The sequence below is a fragment of the Homo sapiens genome, chromosome 6, assembly GCF_000001405.40.
Source record: "Homo sapiens chromosome 6, GRCh38.p14 Primary Assembly".
Taxonomy (NCBI): Eukaryota; Metazoa; Chordata; class Mammalia; order Primates; family Hominidae; genus Homo; species Homo sapiens.
The window spans coordinates 123,229,230-123,252,134 of NC_000006.12; the positions used below are offsets into that span (position 1 = coordinate 123,229,230).

A 22,905-nucleotide genomic window follows, 5' to 3' on the forward strand; every position below is an offset into this window, starting at 1 on the left:
CAAGGACTAGGTTTTGTATAACTCTTCAATACTTATTTAATTGGGCCTACTGACACAAGGGTTCTTAAATAGCTATCAGTTTATTAAAAATCAATAAATTTACAATAGAAAGTCCTGGATTTTGTTTGGTCAAGTAGTCCTTGTATTTTCTGGTTAACTGAAGGACTTTCTCCTTTGTCCTAAATCCATGACTTGCTTCATTTCACATAACTGTCTGTTTCTACACTTAAGAAAAGTGTTATTCTGTGATCAAGTGGAATGCCTGAAAAAGTAAGAAATTACCTCTGTTCTCTGCCTGAAAGTTTTTACTTATCTCCAATACTGTTCTGCAGCCATGGGTCAAAAAAGTTTCATGGCCAATGGGATTTTTAACAGGGTTCAGGTGTTAAGTCTTCATCTCTTTGGAGTCAAGGGTGGACTTGGTTCTATGAGGTTGAAGACACAGATGATTTAAAGACTTGATCTGTTGGTATTTAGGAGACTGCGTGTGTATGGACTCTAATAAATATGGACTCTAATTACAATTGGCTGATAAAAATTCCAAGTATATGAGAAAATGTAAAGTCCAGCCTCAGCACCAATGGTAGGTATGGTATATAATTATGTTTATTCTTAATTATGTAGGTTTGATAAGTGAATTCGCAAATTTTATACTAAAATGCAGATTTCTCATTCTCAGCAAGCAATCTTATCTTGGTTCTACATTTTATTCTCTAGAGCGGTGGCTTTCACTTTTTTCTTCACAGAATTCCTTTATCATCTTAAAATATTAAAGACCCCAAAATATTTTTTATGAATTATATCTATCAATAGTTACCATAATTGAAATTAAAGCTGCTATAAAGACACATGCACACGTATGTTTACAGCGGCACTATTCACAATAGCAAAGACTTGGAACCAACCCAAATGTTCATCAGTGATAGACTGGAATAAGAAAATGCAGCACATATACACCATGTAATACTATGCAGCCATAAAAAAAGGATGATTTCATGTCGTTTGTAGGGACATGGATGAACCTGGAAACCATCATTCTCAGCAAACTATCGCAGGGACAAAAAACCAAACACCACATGTTCTCACTCATAGGTGGGAATTGAACAATAAGAACACTTGGACATAGGAAGGGGAACATCACACACCGGGGCCTGTCTTGCGGTGGGAGGAGGGGGGAGGGATAGTATTAGGAGATATGCCTAATGTAAATGACGAGTTAGTGGGTGCAGCACACCAACATGGCACATGTTTACATATGTAACAAACCTGCACATTGTGCACATATACCCTAGAACTTAAAGTATAATAATAATAATAATAATAATAAAAAGAAAAATGATAAAACCACCACTTCTAAATTTGGATAATTGGAATATATTCAACACCCTTATCATATATTTGCAAAACAATTTACTAGAAACATATTCATAGCATTTTTCATAGATGGTTGGAATCTCAGTTTCTTCTTCATACAAAAGATTAATTCATAATGTATATTTTGTGATGTAGGCTGTGTGTTTATGTTATAAAAGTAAAATCATAAACAGATTTTTAAAAATTTCAGTCTAGCTTTACAGTCAAAGTGAATATTACCTTGAAGGTTTCCTATGATTTATTCATTTAAGATAAAGTTACTTTTCCAGCAACAACTATGAGAACTACAATGAGATATTTTTCTGTGCCAGGTATGCTACTAGGTACTAGATTTTACACATGTGTTTTAACCTAAGTCTCACCAATACCCTTATGAATTATGGGGAAAATATCTGATTTTACAAGAGAACTTTGAGCCCCAAAGTATTTGAAAAGAACTTCCCTGCAGCAACACATTTTAAAAAGTGTTGAAAGAAGGCATGAAGCTAACTTTCCTCAACATCAAGACCCTCACTCTTTCCTCTAAACTATTCTATCTTTACTTGCAAAGCACTTTGCTCTGTGCCCTGGAGGAACCAAAAGGAAATAGGATGCTACTTAGAAGTAATTTACAAACCCATATAGAGAAAATGAAAAAGTACCCAACCAAATAGAAGGGACTCTGAAGTATGAGATAGTATATGACAATTGATAGTATAACTGCGAGGTAGTTTCAAGATTGAAATGGTCAATTCCTCTTACGTAGATCAAAGAAGTTTTTTATGGACACTCTTCCACTGGTGATGGACTTTGAACAATCGTAATGAATTGCATTGTTAGAGGTACAAAGAATTGTTCAGGAAAAGAGAATGATGGGATCAAATCTAGGAGGCAGCAGTATTAGGAATATAGAATGTTCAATTGGGCTAGCACCTACAATAGGTATAGAAAATGATCACACACACAAAAAATTTTAATGTAGTTTATACCTGGATTATAGAGGCCCTAGACTCCTGGGCTTAGAAATGTAGAATTTATTCCAAATTTACAATGAAGAAATAGTCAGTGTTTCTCACATATATGGCCCAATCATTTTAAAGTTTGGAAAATTTAATGTCAGTGGACATAAAAAGGAAGAATGACAAGTCAGAAAAGGGCCTGCTGGGGAGTGAATGCAATGGTTTAGAGGAGAAACAGTAAAAGCCTACATGACTTAAAACAAAATTAGGGTCCGGGACAAGTAATACTGATTGGTCAAAGTAGAATTCAAAGTTTTATGTCTAAGTGACTAAAGAGTGGAAGTCAGATGGCAAGAGTAGAATCCCCTCTTGGGATATGGAGAGGGTAGAAGGATAAGGGCAAGAAGAAGTTTATGATATGAAGATCAGTTGTAAACTTGTGCAGACAAAGGGCGAAGTTAGGAATTGAATGTGACTGGAGCTGAAAAAATAGGTTAAGCTTCAGAAGAATTTTGGGTCTTATCCACAAAGAAGTAGATAATGTAGAAAACAAAACTGGATGGCCCCACTGAGGAATAGCACAGAAGAGTAGGAAAGAGAGCTGAGGTTGGAAGAATTCAACCTCTGGGGAAAAACAGCAGAAGCCCAGTACTGAGCAAATAGACTGAAAAAAAAAAATCCTATATTATGAAAGCCAAGAGAGGAAAACATTTCAAAAAGGGCAGGCGACCCACAATGTGGAAGGCATTAGAGAGGTTAACAATAGGGGAGAAGTGAGCAAAAGGTAATTCAGCTTTACAATTTGGAACGCTGTGTTGAACTTGAGGTTAGCTATTTGGGGAGACTGTTGGGGCAGAAATGGGGGCAGATATCCAAGCTGCATGGAATTAAACTGAAAGAGTAGAGAGAAATTGCTAGGAGATCTAGTTCAGAAGTGGCTGCAAATGCAAGCAGAGCAAAAAGACAACAGCTCTGAGAAGCAGAAAGGGCAAGGAAAATTTTGTACAAAGGAATATTTGTAGGCAGAGGTAGGAGAAACTCTTATGGTAAGAACTGCAGAGGCATGATTGAGGGAGAAAGCAAGAGAGGATGGAATCAAAAAGGAATACAGAATGTAAATCTTAGGAGAAGCAATGCTTCTTGATATGAGAATGGGAGGCTGATGATAGGGAATATACAAAAGAGTAAAAAGAGATTGTAATTTGGGGAGAAGGCAAACTTTGAAGAACCCACATTTATGGCATGGATTAATTTTGTTTTTCTCAGTTTTAAACATAAAATTTTTCTGTGTAGTGTCCAGTCTGCTCTATATGCTCTTAGCAAACACTATAAATAAATCAAAGCCCCCTAAATAATGCACGTATATGTACCAGCTCAGTTACTCTATGTTCATCTCTACCAGCAGTCTATTTTGATTTGTGCAGTTTCAAGAAATCCTCGTAAGTAAACATGTGGAATCCTTAGTCATAGATGCAAAAAAAGCTTAGCATGAATATTTGTATTCTTCCTCAGCCCTCTTCCTTTATCAAATTCGCTGCCTCTCTCTGTTTCTGCAGAGATACCCAAAGCTCCAAATTATTTTCTCAACTAACTGGCCAAATTGTGTGTAACCGGTTTAACAGAATATTACTTTCTAAGAGTTCACATTTTCCTAAGAAATCTTAAAAACCCACGGTAGTTCAAAGCAACATTTGACAGCCAGTTTATTTTAGCTCTCAGGTGTGAGAAGCTCCTTCAATATGTGCTATTATTTAAAGTAATAACGAGTTTTAAAGAAAATGAACTGCTACACTGAGAACTCACTGAAGATTCTTAAAATTGACTCTAGGGAATAATAAACTATGCAGGGAAATTTCACATTTGGGATTTTGTAGGCAGCACACAGTGAAGCCAGGAGTGTTCAATGAATGTATGCGACCCTTTCTTAGTGTCTGTCCCATCACTCCCAGGATAAACACGGCTCTCTTGAGGGCAATGTCAGAACAACTTAACATCACCCTTAAATGAATGAGGCCACAGTGCTGGGACCCAAAGTCTAATAATGAACAGTGACAAACGTTTCACCAAATGCGCCTTATACACAACCTTTCTCTGGAGTTTAGCAAAAGGGGTGATCAGAGTGGTGAGTATGATCACTGGCACATATTAAGGAGACTTCAGCCAATTTTTTCTCCTAAAACAAAATCATCATGAATTTAATCACCCTTGCTTTAAAAAGTGAGATTGTTTTAAATCCAAGCAAAAATAAGAGACAGATGTTTTCTCTTTATTTTTTTATTTAATAATTGTATCCATTTTGACACAAAAGTTTAATAATTGAAATCTGTCCCTTGCTAGGGGAGTAACCCATTGTCATTACATAATCATCATCATCCTCATTCTTATAGTTACCAATTAATAATCACTTATCATATACCAATCCCTATTCATGCACTCTACTATTTTATCTTAATCTACCCAAAATTTCTATGAGATGAATATTATTATTCAAAATTTAAAAATAAAGCTATTGAAGCACAAAAATGTTAAGTAATTTTTCCAAGTTATTCAGCTTTTTAAGTCATGATGGGAACCAGTACTTCTGACGCTAGTTTCCCTGGTATCGACTACTACCCTATGATACCATCTGTATACATATGTCTATTATGAATTTAGTGCTAATTTGTTTAGCAAAAACTACAGTAATGTTGCCATTCCATTTCAGCATGTGACCTCTAACAAAACAGAAGTCATTTTATAAAAACAATCACTTTCATATCATATATATGTGTGTGCATTTATGTATAGGTATGTGTATATATGTTTATAAACACACATATATTAAATATATATACACCCATGTGTAGCCAGAAATAAGCTTTCATCCATTCATTATAAGAAGACTTTATTTCAGTTTGTACATATCTGTATTAGTTGAGAATGGTTTTGCTTTAATAAAGATTAAATTTAGGATTCTGTGATGAAGCACTCGCTAAATTTTTAATGACATAATTAGTTTTACACAATTGTCTAGAACTGGGACGTAAGATATCTTGTTTTTTAATTTAGAAAAAGAAAGGCAATAATCTTGGTTAAAATAAGACTTGTGGATAAAATCTTAAAAACTATTGGACACTAATACTTCTGAAAATATGATAGACTGAATACACTAAAGTGCTCATTCACAGCAACAAAAACTAATACCTTTTGTTGAAGGACTGGGTTTAGAGGAAGTAAAGGAAATCTTCAAATAGAATTGACCCTTCTGTCCCAGGGAAATTAAAATAAAAAACTAACCCTGCTGATACATGAAAAGTGGGGTCACATTAGGACAAGTGCTTATATTAAAACTGAAATTCAGTAATTAAGTGTGCAAGGAGCAAAATGGGGGTGTAGAGGCTAGGATCGTTTGTTAAGCCAGGGAGGGTGGGACAATGATAAAATTGTCCTAGGGGACTGTGAGAACATAATAGCAGTAGAGATCTTAAATTTCCTTCATATTTCTCCCCCCAAAATGGATAGAATAGGTAGACAGCAAAAACCATGAACAATATTTATAACCAATTAGATGAACCCTAAGATAGCTACATATTGAGACAAATGAATAGTCAAAAATCTACAAGGAATCAAAGTCTGTGGAAGAGGAAGCAGAGGGAAACCATGGGGAGTCTGAGAGATGGGGATCAGTCTCTCAGATAGCCAATAGGTATTTCCCAAAGGAAGTTAGACTGATGAGATCATCAGCTAAAGTTATGAGGGACTTTGTCAAGTCCAATAGCAGGTAAGCATTGAGAGCTGAAGGTGCTGGAACCTTCAGATACCCTGTGACCTTGGGAAACTGACAAGCCAGGGCTCACTTTCAGGATGGATTCCCACAAATGGTAAGGAACTGCTGGGAGTGGAATAAAAGTTGAGCAAGACAGGGTCAGTAAAGACAAAGAAAAAGATAAGGTCAGGTAAGTGAGAAAAAGCAACCCAGCTAGGAAATCTCAAAAAGCTATCTTTCACAAGTTTTGTACGTTATTAATTTTATTTTTTAAGGTTTATTTTTTAAAATAATCACACAGTAAATTGAGTTTTTCAGTGCAAACTTCTATGAATTTTAAGACATGTATATGAATTTTAAGACACGTATAGATGTGTGTGACTACAACCAAAATCACCTCCAAAAAATACCTTTGTTCTCCTCCTTTATAGTGACACTCCCCCTCTGTCCCTAACCTTGAGCAACTACTGAGCTGTAACCCAATGGAAGAATCTCATATGCATGAAAACTTCCCGTATGGAACCTTTGGAGCTTAGCTTCAGAAGAAATAACGTATTTGAATTCATATAACTGCTGCACATATGAATTTTTATTCCTGAGAAATATTCTGTTGTGTGGATGTACTACAGCTTCTATATCCATTTGCCTGTTGAAGGACATTTGGGTTATTTCCAGATTTGGCGATTGTGAATATAGCTGCAATAAACATTTATGTTCACATTTTTGGGCAAACATAAATTTTTATTTCTCTCATCCTTCAGGAGTGAGATGGTTGGGTCACAACATAAGCAACTCTCAGTTTTCTATAGTGCCAGTACCATTTTGCCTTCCCGACAGCAATGTATGAAAGTTCTGGTTGTTTCAAATGCTTGCCAGCACTTGTTTTTGTTTTTCCATGTTTTAAAAAGTTACTTATCCTAATAAATGTGTGCTGTTATATAATGGTGGCTTAGCTTGCAATTCTCTAACAGCTAATAATGTCAAATATCTTTTCTGGCTCTTATTTGCTATTCATACATCCTCTTTGGTGAACTATGTGTTAAAATCTTTTGTTTACTTTTTAAAATTAATTTTAACTAACATTTTATTTCACCCAATTTGTAAAAAACACAAGGCCTTTGTTGGATATGTAGTCTTTTCCACAGAGCACACATTTTTAATTTTGAGATGGTATACAATTTATTATTTTTTCTTTTACAAATAGTCCTTTTGGTGTCATGTCTTGTAACTCTTTGTCTAATGTTAGGTCTCAAAGATGTTTTCTCCTAAAAGTTTGATAATTTCATGTTTTACATTTAGAGATATCTATTTTTGATTAATTTTTGCACACTATGTGAGGTTAAGATAGCAGTTTATTTTCAAAAAATACATAGATGTCCAATTGTTTGAGTGCCATTGGTTAAAAAGTCTACTTATTCTCCACTAAATTGCTTCGGAACTTTTATTACAAATCAAATGGTTATGTTATGTGGGTCTATTTCTTGGATTTTTAACACTACATTGATCTATGTGGCTATATCTTTGCAAATCCCATACTCTTGTGATTACTGTAAGTGTACAGTAACATTTAAAATTAGGTAATATGATTATTCCAAATTTGTTCTTTTAAAAAATGTTTTAGCTATTGTAAAAGAGATTTTATATATTAAGAAATTCTGTCTGAGATTTTGATTGTAATTGCATTAAATTATAGATCGATTTGGGGAGAACTGACCTCTTTGCTATGTTGAATCTTCCAATTTATGAATATGGTATAGCTCTACTTATTTTAGATTTTCTTTAATAATTTTTATCATCACCTTGTGGTTTTCAACATATAGATCATATATGCATTTTGATTTATACATAATTTATACATAAGTATTTCATATTAGGTAACACGAACTAATTTTTTTTAAATTTTGTTTCCAATTGCATGTTGCATGTGGGAAATAATGAGTTTTCTGTATTAACTTTATACCCTACTACTTTGTTTTTTTTTGAGATGGAGTCTCGCTCTGTCGCCCAGGCTGGAGTGCAGTGGCACAATCTTGGCTCACTGCAAACTCTGCCTCGCTGGTTCAAGGGATTTTCCTCTCTCAGCTTCCCGAGTGGCTGGGACTACAGGTAAGTGCCACCATGCCCGGCTAATTTTTGTATTTTTAGCAGAGACAGAGTTTCACCATCTTGGCCGGGCTGGTCTCGAACTCCTGACCTCATGAACTGCCCGCCTCAGCCTCCCAAACTGCTGGGATTACAGGCGTGAGCCACTGCGCCCTGACACCCTACTACCTTTTGAAACTCACTTACTAATTCCAGTTTTTGTGTTTATACAGGTTTTAGATTTGCTACATAGACAATCATGTGAATAGGGGTGGTTTTGTTTTTTCCTTTCCAAATGTGTTAATTTTTTTCTTGCTTTTTTGCAGTGGCATAAAGGAGAAAAAATGGAAAAGACAATATTTTGAATAAACAATGGTTATGGATTCCTCAAGTAGGTACAAGAAAACGATAAATTCCTGTGCCCTGAAAGTATGTCACAATAAGAAGAAATCCTCATCCCAACAAACTATAGTAACACTGCAGCAGAACAAAGGCTAAGAGAACATACTTGAAGAAGGCAGAGAGAAAAGATATATTACACAGGAAGAAATGACAATTAAATTGATAACAGCATTCCCCTATTCTATCAGTAGAAAAGAAAACAATAGAGTTGAATAATACATTAAAAGATGCTTAAAAGTGTATAATTGGAAGCCTAGATTATGTGACAGAAAAAATAAAAGGCTTTCGGGAATGAAATGATATAGAAAAGCTGTCAAGTAAGTAAAAACTGAGAATGTTTTCTACTAACAGAACTCTACCCAAGGCAATTTCATAGAAGGCACTACTAGGAAAAGTATGCTATCAAAAGAAAGTCAAAAATGCAAAAGAAATGGTAAACTATTAAACTGGCAAACATATAAGTACAGATAGGCACATACTGATTAAACAAATAATACTAATAAAATTCACATATTCAGGTTTTTGAACAAAATTACCATGTAAGTCAAGATTAGATGTGTTGGAATTTAGATGTTTTCATATTCCTCTCTTGTTTAGAAGGGGTTTTCAAGTAGCAATTTTATACTTTGTTAGGTGGGTATGGTTAAAATGTAAGGATAATCACTAAAGTAATAGAAATAAGGTATGGTCTCTGCAAAATGGAATAATAAAAACATATAAAAGGAAAAAACCCTCAATTTATAGAAGTCAAGAAAGATGATGAAGAAGCATTGAGAGAGCATGAGAAAGAGAAAGCAACAAGACAGTGAGAACCAGACCTAAGATATTAATAATCATGATAAATGTAAATAGTCTACGTCCATCAGATTAAAACTAAAGATCATTTTAGTATACAACGTAAAATAAAATTTAGCTCAATATTGTTTGATAGACACATATATAAAACATCATGTTATGAAAGGACATAAAGTAAAGGTTTAATTGAAAATAGATTCAGATAAAATATTAACCAAAAGAAAGCTGGAATAATTATATTAATATCAGACATACTGCATAATACTCTTTTTTGTTTTATTTTGTTTTGTTTTTGACACGGAGTCTCACTCTTTGGCCAGGCTGGAGTGCAGTGGCACAATCTCTGCTCACTGCAAACTCCACCTCCTGGGTTCAAGCGATTCTCCTGCCTCAGCCTCCCAAGTAGCTGGAACTACAGGCACACACCACCACGCCACGCTAATTTTTTGTATTTTAGTAGAGACAGGGTTTCACCATGTAGGCCAGGATGGTCTTGATCTCCTGACCTCATGATCTGCCCACCTCGGCCTTCCAAAGTGCTGGGATTACAGGCGTGAGCCACTATGCCCAGCCATATACTCTTTTTAAAAAGAGCTTTGTAAGGGATATAGAAGTCATCATATAAAGATAAATGTTCAATATATCAGAAAGACACAAAATTGATATAAACTTACGTATAACATGAAATAGCACCTGATATAAAAATTGATTAAACTACAGGGATAAACTGATAATTTCTCATCATAGGAGGAGATGTCAATATAGTTTATTCAGTTATTGATACTTCAAATATACAAAAAGTCAAAGAAGATACAGGGTAATTAAAAAGACAATTAAGCTTGATTTAACGGCTATAGAATTGTGCTTTCAACCATTAGCAAAGACACAATCTTCTCAATCATATATACAGTATTTACTGAAACTAATATATTAGTTCACAAGATAAACACTGAACACATTTCAAAGAAAACACTTTTCCTGTGATTACTACACAATTAAATTGGAGTTCGGTTAAATAAGAATAACGTCAGTAATTCTCATAGGTTTAGAAATTTTAAAATATACTCTATAAATAAAATCTAATACACTAGTTAAAATTAATTATAGTGGAAATTAAATATGCTTAACATTGAATTGTAATGAAAATACTACATATAAAAGTTTGTGGGATGCTGCTGAAATAGTGCTTAAAGGAAAATTTATTGCTGTTACATACATATGTAAAAGTAGAAAGGAAATAGATTAATAAAATAAGCATACATATTTGATATTTATAAAGGAAACAGAAAAACCTCAAATAAATGGGAAGCATTGCAAATGTCCATCAAGAGTAGAACTGATTAAATGTGTATGTTCACAAAGTAATATACTATATATGGCAGTGAAAATAAGTAAAATATAACTACTCAAAAATACTGATAAATCTGAGAAGCATAACATTAAGTAAAAAATTTCAGAGTATGTTCTACAATGTGCTACACACACACAGAGATGAGAGACCAATACATGTCATAAAATTAGAAAAAAGTAATCAAGGGAATCAATTGTAAAATGAAACTCATTGTAGTAGTTACTTCTGATAGAAATCAAGGGTTGGAATAGTGAAGTTACAGTATTTGTATTATCCAGTTTTCAAATATATGTTACTTTGTATGTATCAGAAACTACATAATAAAGTATTTTTAAAGAACAAAATAGACTGGAATAATTTATATTAGTAAGAGGGATAGGAAATTCACATTTTTGATATTAATTTGTATATAAATGAAAGCTATGAAAAAAAATTATGATCTCTCTCCCAAAACTTCATTTTCCAATAAATTATTTTAGAAATGGGAAGGTCTTTTTTTCTCTTTCTGTTTTTGATTTCAGTATATAATCAATCTTACTTGCTGAAACAACGTAAAAAAAAAGCCATAAATAACAGTTATATATTTATAGCAATGGATTTTTTTTCACAAACAATATTAACAAAGTAGTAAAAGAGACTTAATAGTCATTTTAGTTTCAGCAATTCAGTTTATTTTTTGGAAACATTTAGATCTAATTTTAGACAAATGAATTCAAAACATAATTGGGCATGAATAACATTATTCAAACTCATTTTGTAAAGTTAAGCAAACAATGTTTAAAGACTTGTTCTATAACTACATCCGAATTAGACTATTAAATTTTCTTGTGCAGTGCTAGATATGGGACTGGCATATGTTGTAAAGTGATAAAATTGATTAATTTATTTAAAAGTCAAAATATTGATGTGTCATCATTAATCATTGCATATTATTTTTATCAACAACTTAGTCTAAGATAACAGAAGTTACTTGATTTTTGAGGTGAATTTACTCTGAAGTAGCTTTTAGGTTGAATTTGGTTATGCTAGAAAGTATCATTAATTTAATTATGTAAAAAAGGAAAGCAAAGATGCTATCAACATAAAATGAAGTATATTCTGTTTGTGTTTAAGAATTTCTGTGTTTAAGAAGATTAGTTGTTTTCTGCCACTGAATTATCATTTTATAATTTACTTACTCATTAATAGTAACATTATTATTTGACAAATTGAAATATTACTTCAAATGGGAATGACATACTTATTGGGAAATTCTAGTTTTCTGAAATTACTGAAAATTTTCAATTTGGGAAAATATAATCAATAAAAATAGGTTATACTTTTATTTATTCATCATTATATATTATAAGGACAAATATGATGCTTTAGTTATGGTTAATTATAGTCATTAAAAGAATCTTTACTAGATATTCATTTCACAGTTTTCTTTTCAGACGTAAGATACACTAAACATGTAAATTCAGAAAAAGAATATAAACTTTTATATCTATGAAATCTGTATTTAATTTTATCTTATGCTTAAATTTCAGACTAATTTTCAAAGTGCTTAATTCTGACATCTAAAATATCTATTATACTCTAATATTGAAAGAACTACCTTATTTACTTAGCATATTTATAAAGGAAGGAAAAAAATGCAGAACCAAAATACTAGATCAGAATATTAAAAGTTAGAAAGCTTTTGAAAAATCACAAAAGTAAGATAGAAAGAAAGTTGTTTAAAAACATGGAAATCCTAACTACTTTTCTAGCAGGCTTGGTTGAAACTTCATTATAAAGTAGTAAACTTCTAGAAAAGACTAAATTTATTATTATGGAGATGTCAAAGTTAAATTTATTATCTTGGACTAATATCAAAATTGTATCTCAAAGTTTATAATGATCTCACAACTTGGTGCATTCAGGTAATTTTGATGAAGTGCTAATGGCAAAAATGCTCCCCTATTCAAGAAAAAAAAAATTACAGGAAACATGGCAAAGTTAAACCTCCGCATACAATAATCTCAAGAAATGTTCCTACTACACTATTTCATTTGAAATACTCATTTTGAGGATCTAACAAACCTAACTTTATATAAATGTTGACTCCCAGACTACAGCAACAAAATAACTATGCACACCTATAAAATCTTTTTCTTTGATATACCAACATCCATTGGGATAAATATCTTGCCAGGGCCATCCCCCTGTCTAGAGCCTTATGACTCTTCCGGTTGAAAAACCTTCCCGCAGCATTGTTTGCCTTTTAAGAATGTATTTTATCATCCCTTGGTTTTATTTCACATTTTGCCTTTGGGCAAGTTCCTGGAAAATAATATTTTAGGATGTATTTTTGCTTTTTTAGAGAAAAAGTTTTCAAAAAATTTAAAATGTTAATATCAGGAATAGATTGTGGTGTTATTTAAATTTTAAGAATGTGGGATTTTTTTGCTTTTAATTTTTAAAATAATAAGTACTAAATATAATAAAATCTCACACATCCTCCTCCCAATGTCTTCCTCCAAACTCCATGAGAAGCACATTATTTATCATATATTTACCATATATACAAAAATAAAGATACAGAATAAAAATCAAATGAATATTTAGAAATTAGAAAGCAAGAGGCTGGGAGCAAGATGGCTGTTTAGATTCAGCTAATACGAGCCTCTTCCATGGAAAGAAACAAAAGTATCAAGTAGATAGTCAGACTTTGAATAGATGGTCTAAGAGATTACACTGGAATTCAACAGAGAAGTGATAGGAAGCACCAAAAGCAAAGAAAGAAAAGAAAGTGTAGCAGTCTGTCTGGCTGTGATGGGCTGGCAGCCAGGAGAAGCTCTGGAATATGGGGAAAGTGTAAGTAAGTGTTTCCCAGGGCCCCACATTTCAGCCACAGACTAACAATACTAGATATGGGAGAGTTCCTCAACTCTTGCAGGCCTCAAGATTAACATGGAGAGCTGCCTGAAGATTATGCAAAGGCATTGCTCCAAAGAAGGAACTCATATTGAGCCCCACAGGCTTCTGAGCCCTGAGCAGCTATAGCATGACATCATTCTGAGAGCTCAGCTCCAAAAGGACTGTGTCCTGCCCTGGAGTCAATGCTGCCACTGCCACCTTGACAAGGTCAAGGAGGGAGAAGGAAGGCCTGGCACTTTCATGATGTGCCCCGAAGACAAATTCCACTGTTGCTGCTGAAGGTTGCTACAGAACCAAGGTGCAAGAAAACTACGTGTCCCTAGTTGCCTGCCTATGCCACTCTATTGAGAGTGGTCCCATCATCCTTAGTGGCAGGCCCACAGCTGTCACCAGTCTGATAGCACAGGCCCAAAGGACTGTGTTCTGCCCTGGGGCTAACATCACCATGGTCACTAAGGAGGGAGAGGGAAGGCAGGCCATTTTCACACAGCCAAAATCAAAGCAACAACTGTTACACCAGATGCATAGATAGCAACATAAGGATATGGAAAACAAAACAAGAAAATATGATACCTACAAAGAAATACAATAATTGTCTAGCAATAGATCCCAATGGAAAAGAAAATCACAAAATCCCACAAAAACAATCAAAATACTGATTTCAAAGAAGTTCAGTGAGATACAAGAGAATTCTGAAAAACAATACAGAGAAGTCAGGAAAACAATTTAGGATATGAATCGGAAATTTAAAAAAGAGATAGCTATTTTAAAATAGAACCAAATTGAAATTCTGAAACTGAGGAATTCATTGATAAAATACAAAACACATTGGAAACCTTTATCAAGTAAAAGAAAATCAAGTAAAAGAAAGAAAAATCAAGTAAAAGAAAGAATCTCAGAACTTGAAAACAGGTCTTTGGAAATAAACCGGTAAGTCACAAATAAAGAAAAATAACTTAATGATGAGCAATTTTTTTTTGTTACAGTTAGGATGACATAAAGTGACAGAATATTGAAATTATCAATGTCCCCAGGAGCAAAGAGGGTTGGAAAGGGTTAGAAAATCTATTTAACGAAATAATGGATGAAAACACCTCAAGTCTAGCAAGACACTTGGACATCCAGTCACAGGAGAAAACTAACAGGAATTTATAGAACATTTTGTCAACAACTACAGAATATACAAGTTTCTCCAGTTAGAAAGAAAACTAACAGAAAGCAATAACATCAACATCAACAAAAAGGACATCCATGCAAAAACCCCATCCAAAGGTCACCAACAACAAAGATCAAAGTTAGATAAATCCACGAAGATGAGAAAAAGCTAGTGCAAAAATGCTGAAAATTCCAAAAACTAGAATGCCTCTTCTCCTCCAAAGGATCACAACTCCTCGCCAGCAAGGGAACAAAACTGGACAGAAAAGGAGTTTGACGAATTGACAGAAGTAGGCTTCAGAAGGTGGGTAATAACAAACTCTTCCAAGCTAAAGGAGCATGTTCTGACCAAATGCAAGGAAGCTAAGAGCCATGAGAAAAGATTACAGGAGCTGCTAACTAGAATAACCAGTTTAGAGAAGAACATAAATGACTGATGGAGCCGAAAAACACAGCACGAGAATTTCCTGAAGCATACACAAGTATCAATAGCCAAACTGATCAGAAGAAGAAAAGGTAACAGAGACTAAAGATCAACTTAATGAAATAAAATGTGAATTCAAGATTAGAGAAAAAAAGAATAAAGAAGAACGAACAAAGCCTCCAAGAAACATAGGACTATGTGAAAAGACCAAACCTATGTTTAATTGCGGTATTTAAAGTGACGGGGAGAATGGAACCAAGTTGGAAAACACACTTCATGATATTATCCAGGAGAACTTCCCCAACCTAGTAAGACACACCAACTTTCAAATTCAGGAAATACAGAGAACACCACAAAGATACTCCTCAAGAAGAGTAACTCCAAGACACATAGCCATCAGATTCACCAAGGTTGAAATGAAAGAAAAAATGTTAAGGGCAGCTAGAGAGAAAGGTCAGGTCACCCACAAAGGGAAGCCCATCAGACTAACAGCAGATCTCTCTGCAGAAACCCTATAAGCCATAAGAGAGTGGGGGCCAATATTCAACATTCTTAAAGAAAACAATTTTCAACCCAGAATTGCATATCCAACCAAACTAAGCTTCATAAGCAAAGGAGAAATAAAATCCTTTACAGACAAGCAAATGCTGAGGGATTTTGTCACCACCAGGCCTGCCTTACAAGAGCTCCTGAAGCAAGCACTAAATATGGAAAAGAAAAACTGTTACCAGTCACTGCAAAAACATACCAAAATGTGAAGACTATCAACACCATGAAGAAACCGCATCAACTAATATGCAAAATAGCCAGCTGGCATCATAATGACAGGATCAAATTCACACATAACAATGTTAACCTTAAATGTAAATGGGCTAAATGCCCCAATTAAAAAACACAGACTGGTAAATTGGATAGAGTCAAGACTCATCAGTGTGCTGTATTCAGGAGACACGTCACACATGCAAATACACACATAGGCTCAAAATAAAGGGATGGAGGAAGATTTACCAAGCAAATGGAAAGAAAAAAAAAGCAGGGGTAGCAAATCCTAGTCTCTGATAAAATAGACTTTACACCAACAAAGATGAAAAGAGACAAAGGAGGGCATTACATAATGGTAAAGGGATCAATGCAACAAGAAGTGCTATTTTAAATATATGATGCACCCAATACAGGAGCACCCGGATTGATAAAGCAAGTTCTTAGAAACCTACAAAGAGACTTAGACACCCACACAATAATAGTGGGAAACTTTAACATCCCACTTTCAATACTAGACAGAACAACAAGACAGAACATTAACAAGGATATTCAGGACTTGAACTCAGCTCTGACCCAAGCGGACCTAACAGACATCTACAGAACTCTCCAACCAAATCAGCAAAATATACATTCTTTTCAGCACCACATAGCACTTATTCCAAGATTGACCACATAGTTGGAAGTAAAGCACTCCTCAGCAAATGCAAAAGAATGTAAATCATAACAGTCACTCAGATCACAGTGCAATCAAATTATAACTCAGGATTAAGAAACTCCCTCAAAACCGCAAAACTACATGGAAACTGAACAACCTGCTCCTGAATGACTACTGGGTACATAAAGAAATGAAGGCAGAAATAAATGAGTTCTTTGGCAGCAGTGAGAATGAAGACACAATGTACCAGAATCTCTGGAACACAGATAAAGCAGTGTTTAGAGGGAAATTTATAGCACTAAATGCCCACATGAGAAAGCGGGAAAAATTCAAAATTGACACACTAACATCACAATTAAAAGAACTAGAGAAACAAGAGCAAACAAATTCAAAATCTAGCAGAAGACAAGAAATAACCAAGATCTGAGGAGAACTGAAGGAGATAGAGACACAAAAATCCCTTCTAAAAATCAATGAATCTAGGAGCTGTTTTTTGAAATGATTAGCAAAATAGACCACTAGCCAGACTAATACAGAAGAAAAGAAAGAAGAATCAAATAGACACAATAAAAAATGATAAAGGGGATATCACCACTGATTCCACAGAATTGCAAACTACCATCAGAGAATACTATAAACACTTCTATGCAAATAAACTATGAAATCTAGAAGAAATGGATAAATTCCAGGACACATACACCCTCCCAAGACCAAACCAGGAAGAAGTCAAATCCCTGAATAGACCAATAAAACGTTCTGAAATTGAGGCACTAATTAATAGCCTATCAACCAAAAAAAAAAGGCCCACGAGCAGATGGATTCACAGCCAAGTTCTACCAGAGGTACAAAGAGGAGTTAGTACCATACCTTCTGAAACTATTCCAAACAATAGAATAAGAAGGACTCTTCCCTAGCTCATTTTATAAGGTATAAGGCCAGCATCATCCTGATACCAAAATCTGGCAGAGACATAACAGAAAAAAAAAAAAAGAAAATTTCAGGCCAATATCCCTGATGAACATTGATGCAAAAGTCCTCAATAAAATACTGACAAACCGAATCCAGCAGCACATCAAAAAGTTTATCCACCACGATCAAGTTGGCTTCATCCCTGGGATGCAAGGTTGGTTCAACATGTGCAAATTAATAAACATAATCCATCACATAAACAGAATCAATGACAAAAACCACATGATTATCTCAATAGATGCGGAAAAGTCCTTTGATTAAATTCAACACTCCTTCATGCTAAAAACACTCAATAAACTAGGTATTGATGGAATGTATCTCAAAATAATAAGAGCTATTTATGACAAACCCACAGTCAATAGCATACTGAATGGGCAAAAGCTGGAAGCATTCCCTTTGAAAACTGGCACAAGACAAGTATGTGCTCTCTCACCACTCCTATTTAACATAGTGTTGGAAGTTCTAACCAGGGCAATCAGGCAAGAGAAAGAAAGCATATTTTAATAGGAAGAGAAGAAGTCAAATTGTCTCTGTTTGCAGATGATATGATTGCATATTTAGAAAACCCCATTGTCTCAGCCCAAAAACTCATTTAGCTAATAAGCAACTTCTGCAAAGTCTCAGGATACAAAATCAATGTGCAAAAATCACAAGAATTCCTATACACCAATAATAGACAAACAGAGAGCCAAATCATGAGTGAACTCCCATTCACAATTGCTACAAAGAGAATAAAATATCTAGGAATACAACTAACAAGGAATGTGAAGGACCTCTTCAAGGAGAACTACAAACCATTGCTTAAGAAAATAAGAGAGGAAACAAACAAATGGATAAACATTCCATGATTATGGAGGGGAAGAATCAATATCGTTAAAATGACCCTACTACCTAAAGTAATTTATGGATTCAAAGCTATTCTGGTCAAGCTACCACAGACTTTCTTCACAGAATTAGAAAAACTACTTTAGATTTCATATGGAACCAGAAAAGAGCCTGTATAGTCAAGACAATCCTAAGCAAAAGGAACAAAGCTTGAGGCATCATGCTACCTGACCTCAAACTATACTACAAAGCTACAGTAAACAAAACAGCATGGTACTGGTACCAAAACAGATATATAGACCAATGGGACAGAACAAAGGCCACAGAAATAACACCACACATCTACAACCACCTGATCTTTGACAGACCTGACAAAAACAAACAATGGGAAAAGGATTCTCTATTTAATAAATAGTGTTGGGAAAACTGGCTAGTCATATGCAGAAAACTGAAACTGGACCCCTTCCTTACACCTTATACAAAAAATTAACTGAAGATGGATTAAAGACTGAAATAAAATTAAACAAAAGATCAATAAAATTGTGCGTTGAAATAATAAAATCAAAACAGCCAGCTAGCCTAAGCAGGAATATAAGAAATAAGATCCAAATAAACTCAGAGGAAAAAGGAGACAGTATAACAGATACCACAGAAATACAAAAGATCAAGCTGGGTACAGTGGCTCAAGCCTGTAATCCCAGCACTTTGGGAGGCTGAGGCGTGTGGATCACCTGAGGTCAGGAGTTCGAGACCAGACTGGCCAACATGGTGAGACCCTGTCTCTACTGAACATACAAAAATTAGCCAGGTGTGGTGGTGGGCACCTGTAATCCCAGCTACTCCAGAGGCTGAGGCAGAAGAATTGCTTGAACCCAGGAGGCAGAAGTTGCACTGAGCTGAGATCACGCCACTGCACTCCAGCCTGGGTAACAGAGTGAGACTCCATCTCAAAAAAAATAAAAATAAAAATCAGAGACTTATATGCACAACTACATGCTAATTAACTGGAAAAAATATTGGATACTGATAAACTCCTGAAAACATAAAACTCACCAAGATCGAATCAAGAAGAAATAGGACCTGAACAGACCAACTGTAGCAAAATTTAGTCAGTAATAAAACAATCTCTCATCAAAGAAAATTCCAGGACTGGATGGATTCACAGTCAAATTCTATGAAACATAGAAAGAAAAACTTAATACCAGTTTTAAAACTATTCCAAGAAATTAATGAGGTGAGAACCCTCCATAACTCAATCTACAAGGTCAGCATTACCCTGATACCAAAACCAGACAAGGACACACAAAGAAATAAAACTCCCAACCAATATCTCTGTTGAATATAGATGCAAAAATCCTCAACAAAATACTAGCAAAATGAATCCAACATCATTTTGAAAAGATACTACACCATGACCAAGTAGGATTCATCCCAGGGATGCAAGGATGGCTCAACATGTGCAAATCAATAAACCTGATACATCACATCAACAGATTGAAGGACAACCCATTTGAAAAGTGGGCAAATGAACAGACATCTCGCAAAAGAATACATACAATCAGCCAACAAACATATGAAAACATGCTGAGCATTACTAATTATGACAGAAATTAAAACCATAATAAGATACTATCTTACACCAGTCAGAATGGCTATTATTAAAAAGTCAAAAAAAATATGTTGACGAGGATGTGGAGAAAAGGAAGGCTTATACACTGTTGGTTGGAATGTAAATTGGTTCAATTCCTATGGAAAACATTATGGAGAGTTCTCAAAGAACTAAATTAGAACTAACATTTGACCCAGTAATCCCACTACTGCATATCTACCCAAAGGAAAATAAATAATTATATTAAAAAGATACCTGTACTTCTATGTTTATTGCAGCACTATTCACAATAGCAAAGTCATGGAATCAACCTAAGTGCCCATTAAGGGATAATTAGATAAAGAACATGTAGTATTTATACACCACAGAATACTATGAAGCCATAAAAAACAGTAAAATCATGTATTTTGCAGCAACATGGATGGAGTTGAAGCCCATCATCATACGTGAAATAACTGAAACAGAAAATCAAATTTATCATGCATTATCACTTACAAGTGGGAGCTAAATGATGTGTACACATGGACATAAAGATGGAAATAATAGACATGATGATTTCAAAAGGGGGAAGAATAGAATGTCCTAGCCGGAACAATCAAAACAAGAGAAAGAAATAAATAGAATGTCCCAGCCAGAACAATGAAACAGGATAAAGAAATAAAAGGCATCCACATTGGAAAATAATTCAAACTATCCCACTTTGCTGATGATACGATCTTATATCTAGAAAAACCTAAGGACTCCACCAAAAAAACTTCTAGATTTGATAAATAAATTTAGTAAAGTTGCAGAATACAAAATCAACATAAAAATGAGTAGCATTTCCATACACCAATAATGAACTAGCTGAAGAAGAAATCAAGAAGGTAATTGCATTTATAACAGCTATAAGAAAAATACCTAGGAATAAATCTAATCAAGAAAAAGAAAGATCTCTACAAGGAAAACTACAAACACTGATTAAAGAAATTGACGAGAACACAAACAAAAGACATGACTTGCTCATGGCTGTAAAAGTTGGAGGACCTGGTCCCTGCTAGACAAGAGGTGCAGGCACTAGAGTGGAGTTAGGGGAAGAGAGTGATGGCCACAAAGCACAGCTATTTCATGAAGCTCCTTTAGTTAAAGAGAAACAAATGACTGAAAAAAAAGTCTGAGCCCCAAAACCCACTCCTACCACCACCACTAGCAAAATATACATATACATAATGCTGTAAAAGGATTCGGAAAAAGAATGATACTTGTTTAGTTTCAAATATATATAGTATGCTCTTCTTTATAAATACCTAAGACAGTTTTTTGATGATTGCTCCTAAAAAAGCATAATAAAAACAATAATATGTGCTATAGAGGAAATAAGCTTCATATACTCAGAAAACCACCTTATTAAACAATCATTCCATGATGTCTCTGATCATTTATTTTAATATGGATCACAGAAATGATATATTTTAAATGATATATTTTTCTTTCTGATATATTTTTCTTTTCAGTTACTGCTCATAATCTTACTCTTACTACTACTACTGCTATTACTATGAAGTTAGGTGTCCCAATAATTCCTTGACTTTTTACTTCCTTCTAGGAGGAAGTAAACCATAGCTTTCTGTGGCACATTCTAAAATATTTTGGCCTTGAATATTCTCTACCTGACAGTTTCACCCGAAATGTGCTTACTTCCCACTTCTTTCCAACACTACACCTCAACTTCAACCAATACTTCTGATGCTATCTTTCTTTGTCAGTCATTTCTATCCTTTTCTCCAGCTATCCAAATCCTAACCATTCTTCAAGGCAAAAATCTTGGCATTACCTCCTTATGTAGTCAGCTCTCATTACCTTTGGCTGTAGGGGAATGGTGTGGAATAGGGCAGCTTCCAAGGGCCTTTCCTTTTATCTATACATTTTGTCCTTGCCATCAGTGGGACAATTTTGTGTCCTTACAATATCTTTCCTTTTTTTAAATTCCTGAAGCAAGTCTATGATCACCTGTAATCAAAGACCTTTGAATGACATGTGGTATCATATTTTAATGGTTCCTTTTTATTGTCTTCAATATTAACATTGGGTACAGTAGGACCTTCTCTATCCAATGCTGTAGCCACTGACTACATGGGGATTTGGGAAATTGAAATGTGACTAGCACAAGATAAAATGTAGTGTAAGTGTAAAATACACATAAGATTTCAAAATCTCAATACAAAAAAAGAATGTAGGGATAAATACTTTTCTATATTGATTATATATTGAAATAACATTTGTATAAAATAAGTTACATAAAATAAAATATTACTAAAATTATTTCCACTTGTTTTGTTTTGTCTTTTAATGTGTCAACTAGAAAATTAAAATAACATATTAAAATTAAAATTACACATATGAAATTAAAATTACATATATGTAATTAAAATTAAAATTACATATATGTCACATTTTATATTTGTATTGGGTGGTACTTATTTAGAATATTTTTTCATAAATATGGAAATAAAAAAGGATAAATTGTTATTTCCTTGAATCTTAGGAACTTGTAAGAATATTTACAGTTATATCCTATATACATAGAATTTCTATCTGTACCTGGATCCTGATATTCTAGAGAATCTATTCTGGGAGCTGTGGTTTATACTATAGGAGATACATCCATTCCTAACTATGCTGTTTTTCTTATATACACAATTATATTTAGGTTTCTTAGATATACAATTATATTACAATTTAGGTTTACAATTAAATTATAGCTATACAATTAAATTACAATTTAGGTTTCTTAGATACACAATTTTATTTAGGTTAACGAACACTAGAAAACAGCAGCAAAAGCATCACTGTTCGACCATATGTGGTCTTTAACAAATTTCTAGTGATTGACAGTTAAAGGCAGATACAGAATTATTTTATTTCACTTGAATTTAATC

The 22,905-nt window shown here is 34.1% G+C and overlaps 1 protein-coding gene across 1 annotated transcript in view; it reads right to left on the reverse strand.

The window, feature by feature from the left end:
• The window catches only part of TRDN (triadin), a 420,612-nt gene that overhangs the window by 12,891 nt on the left and 384,816 nt on the right, over positions 1–22,905 (reverse strand). The window lies entirely within an intron of this gene.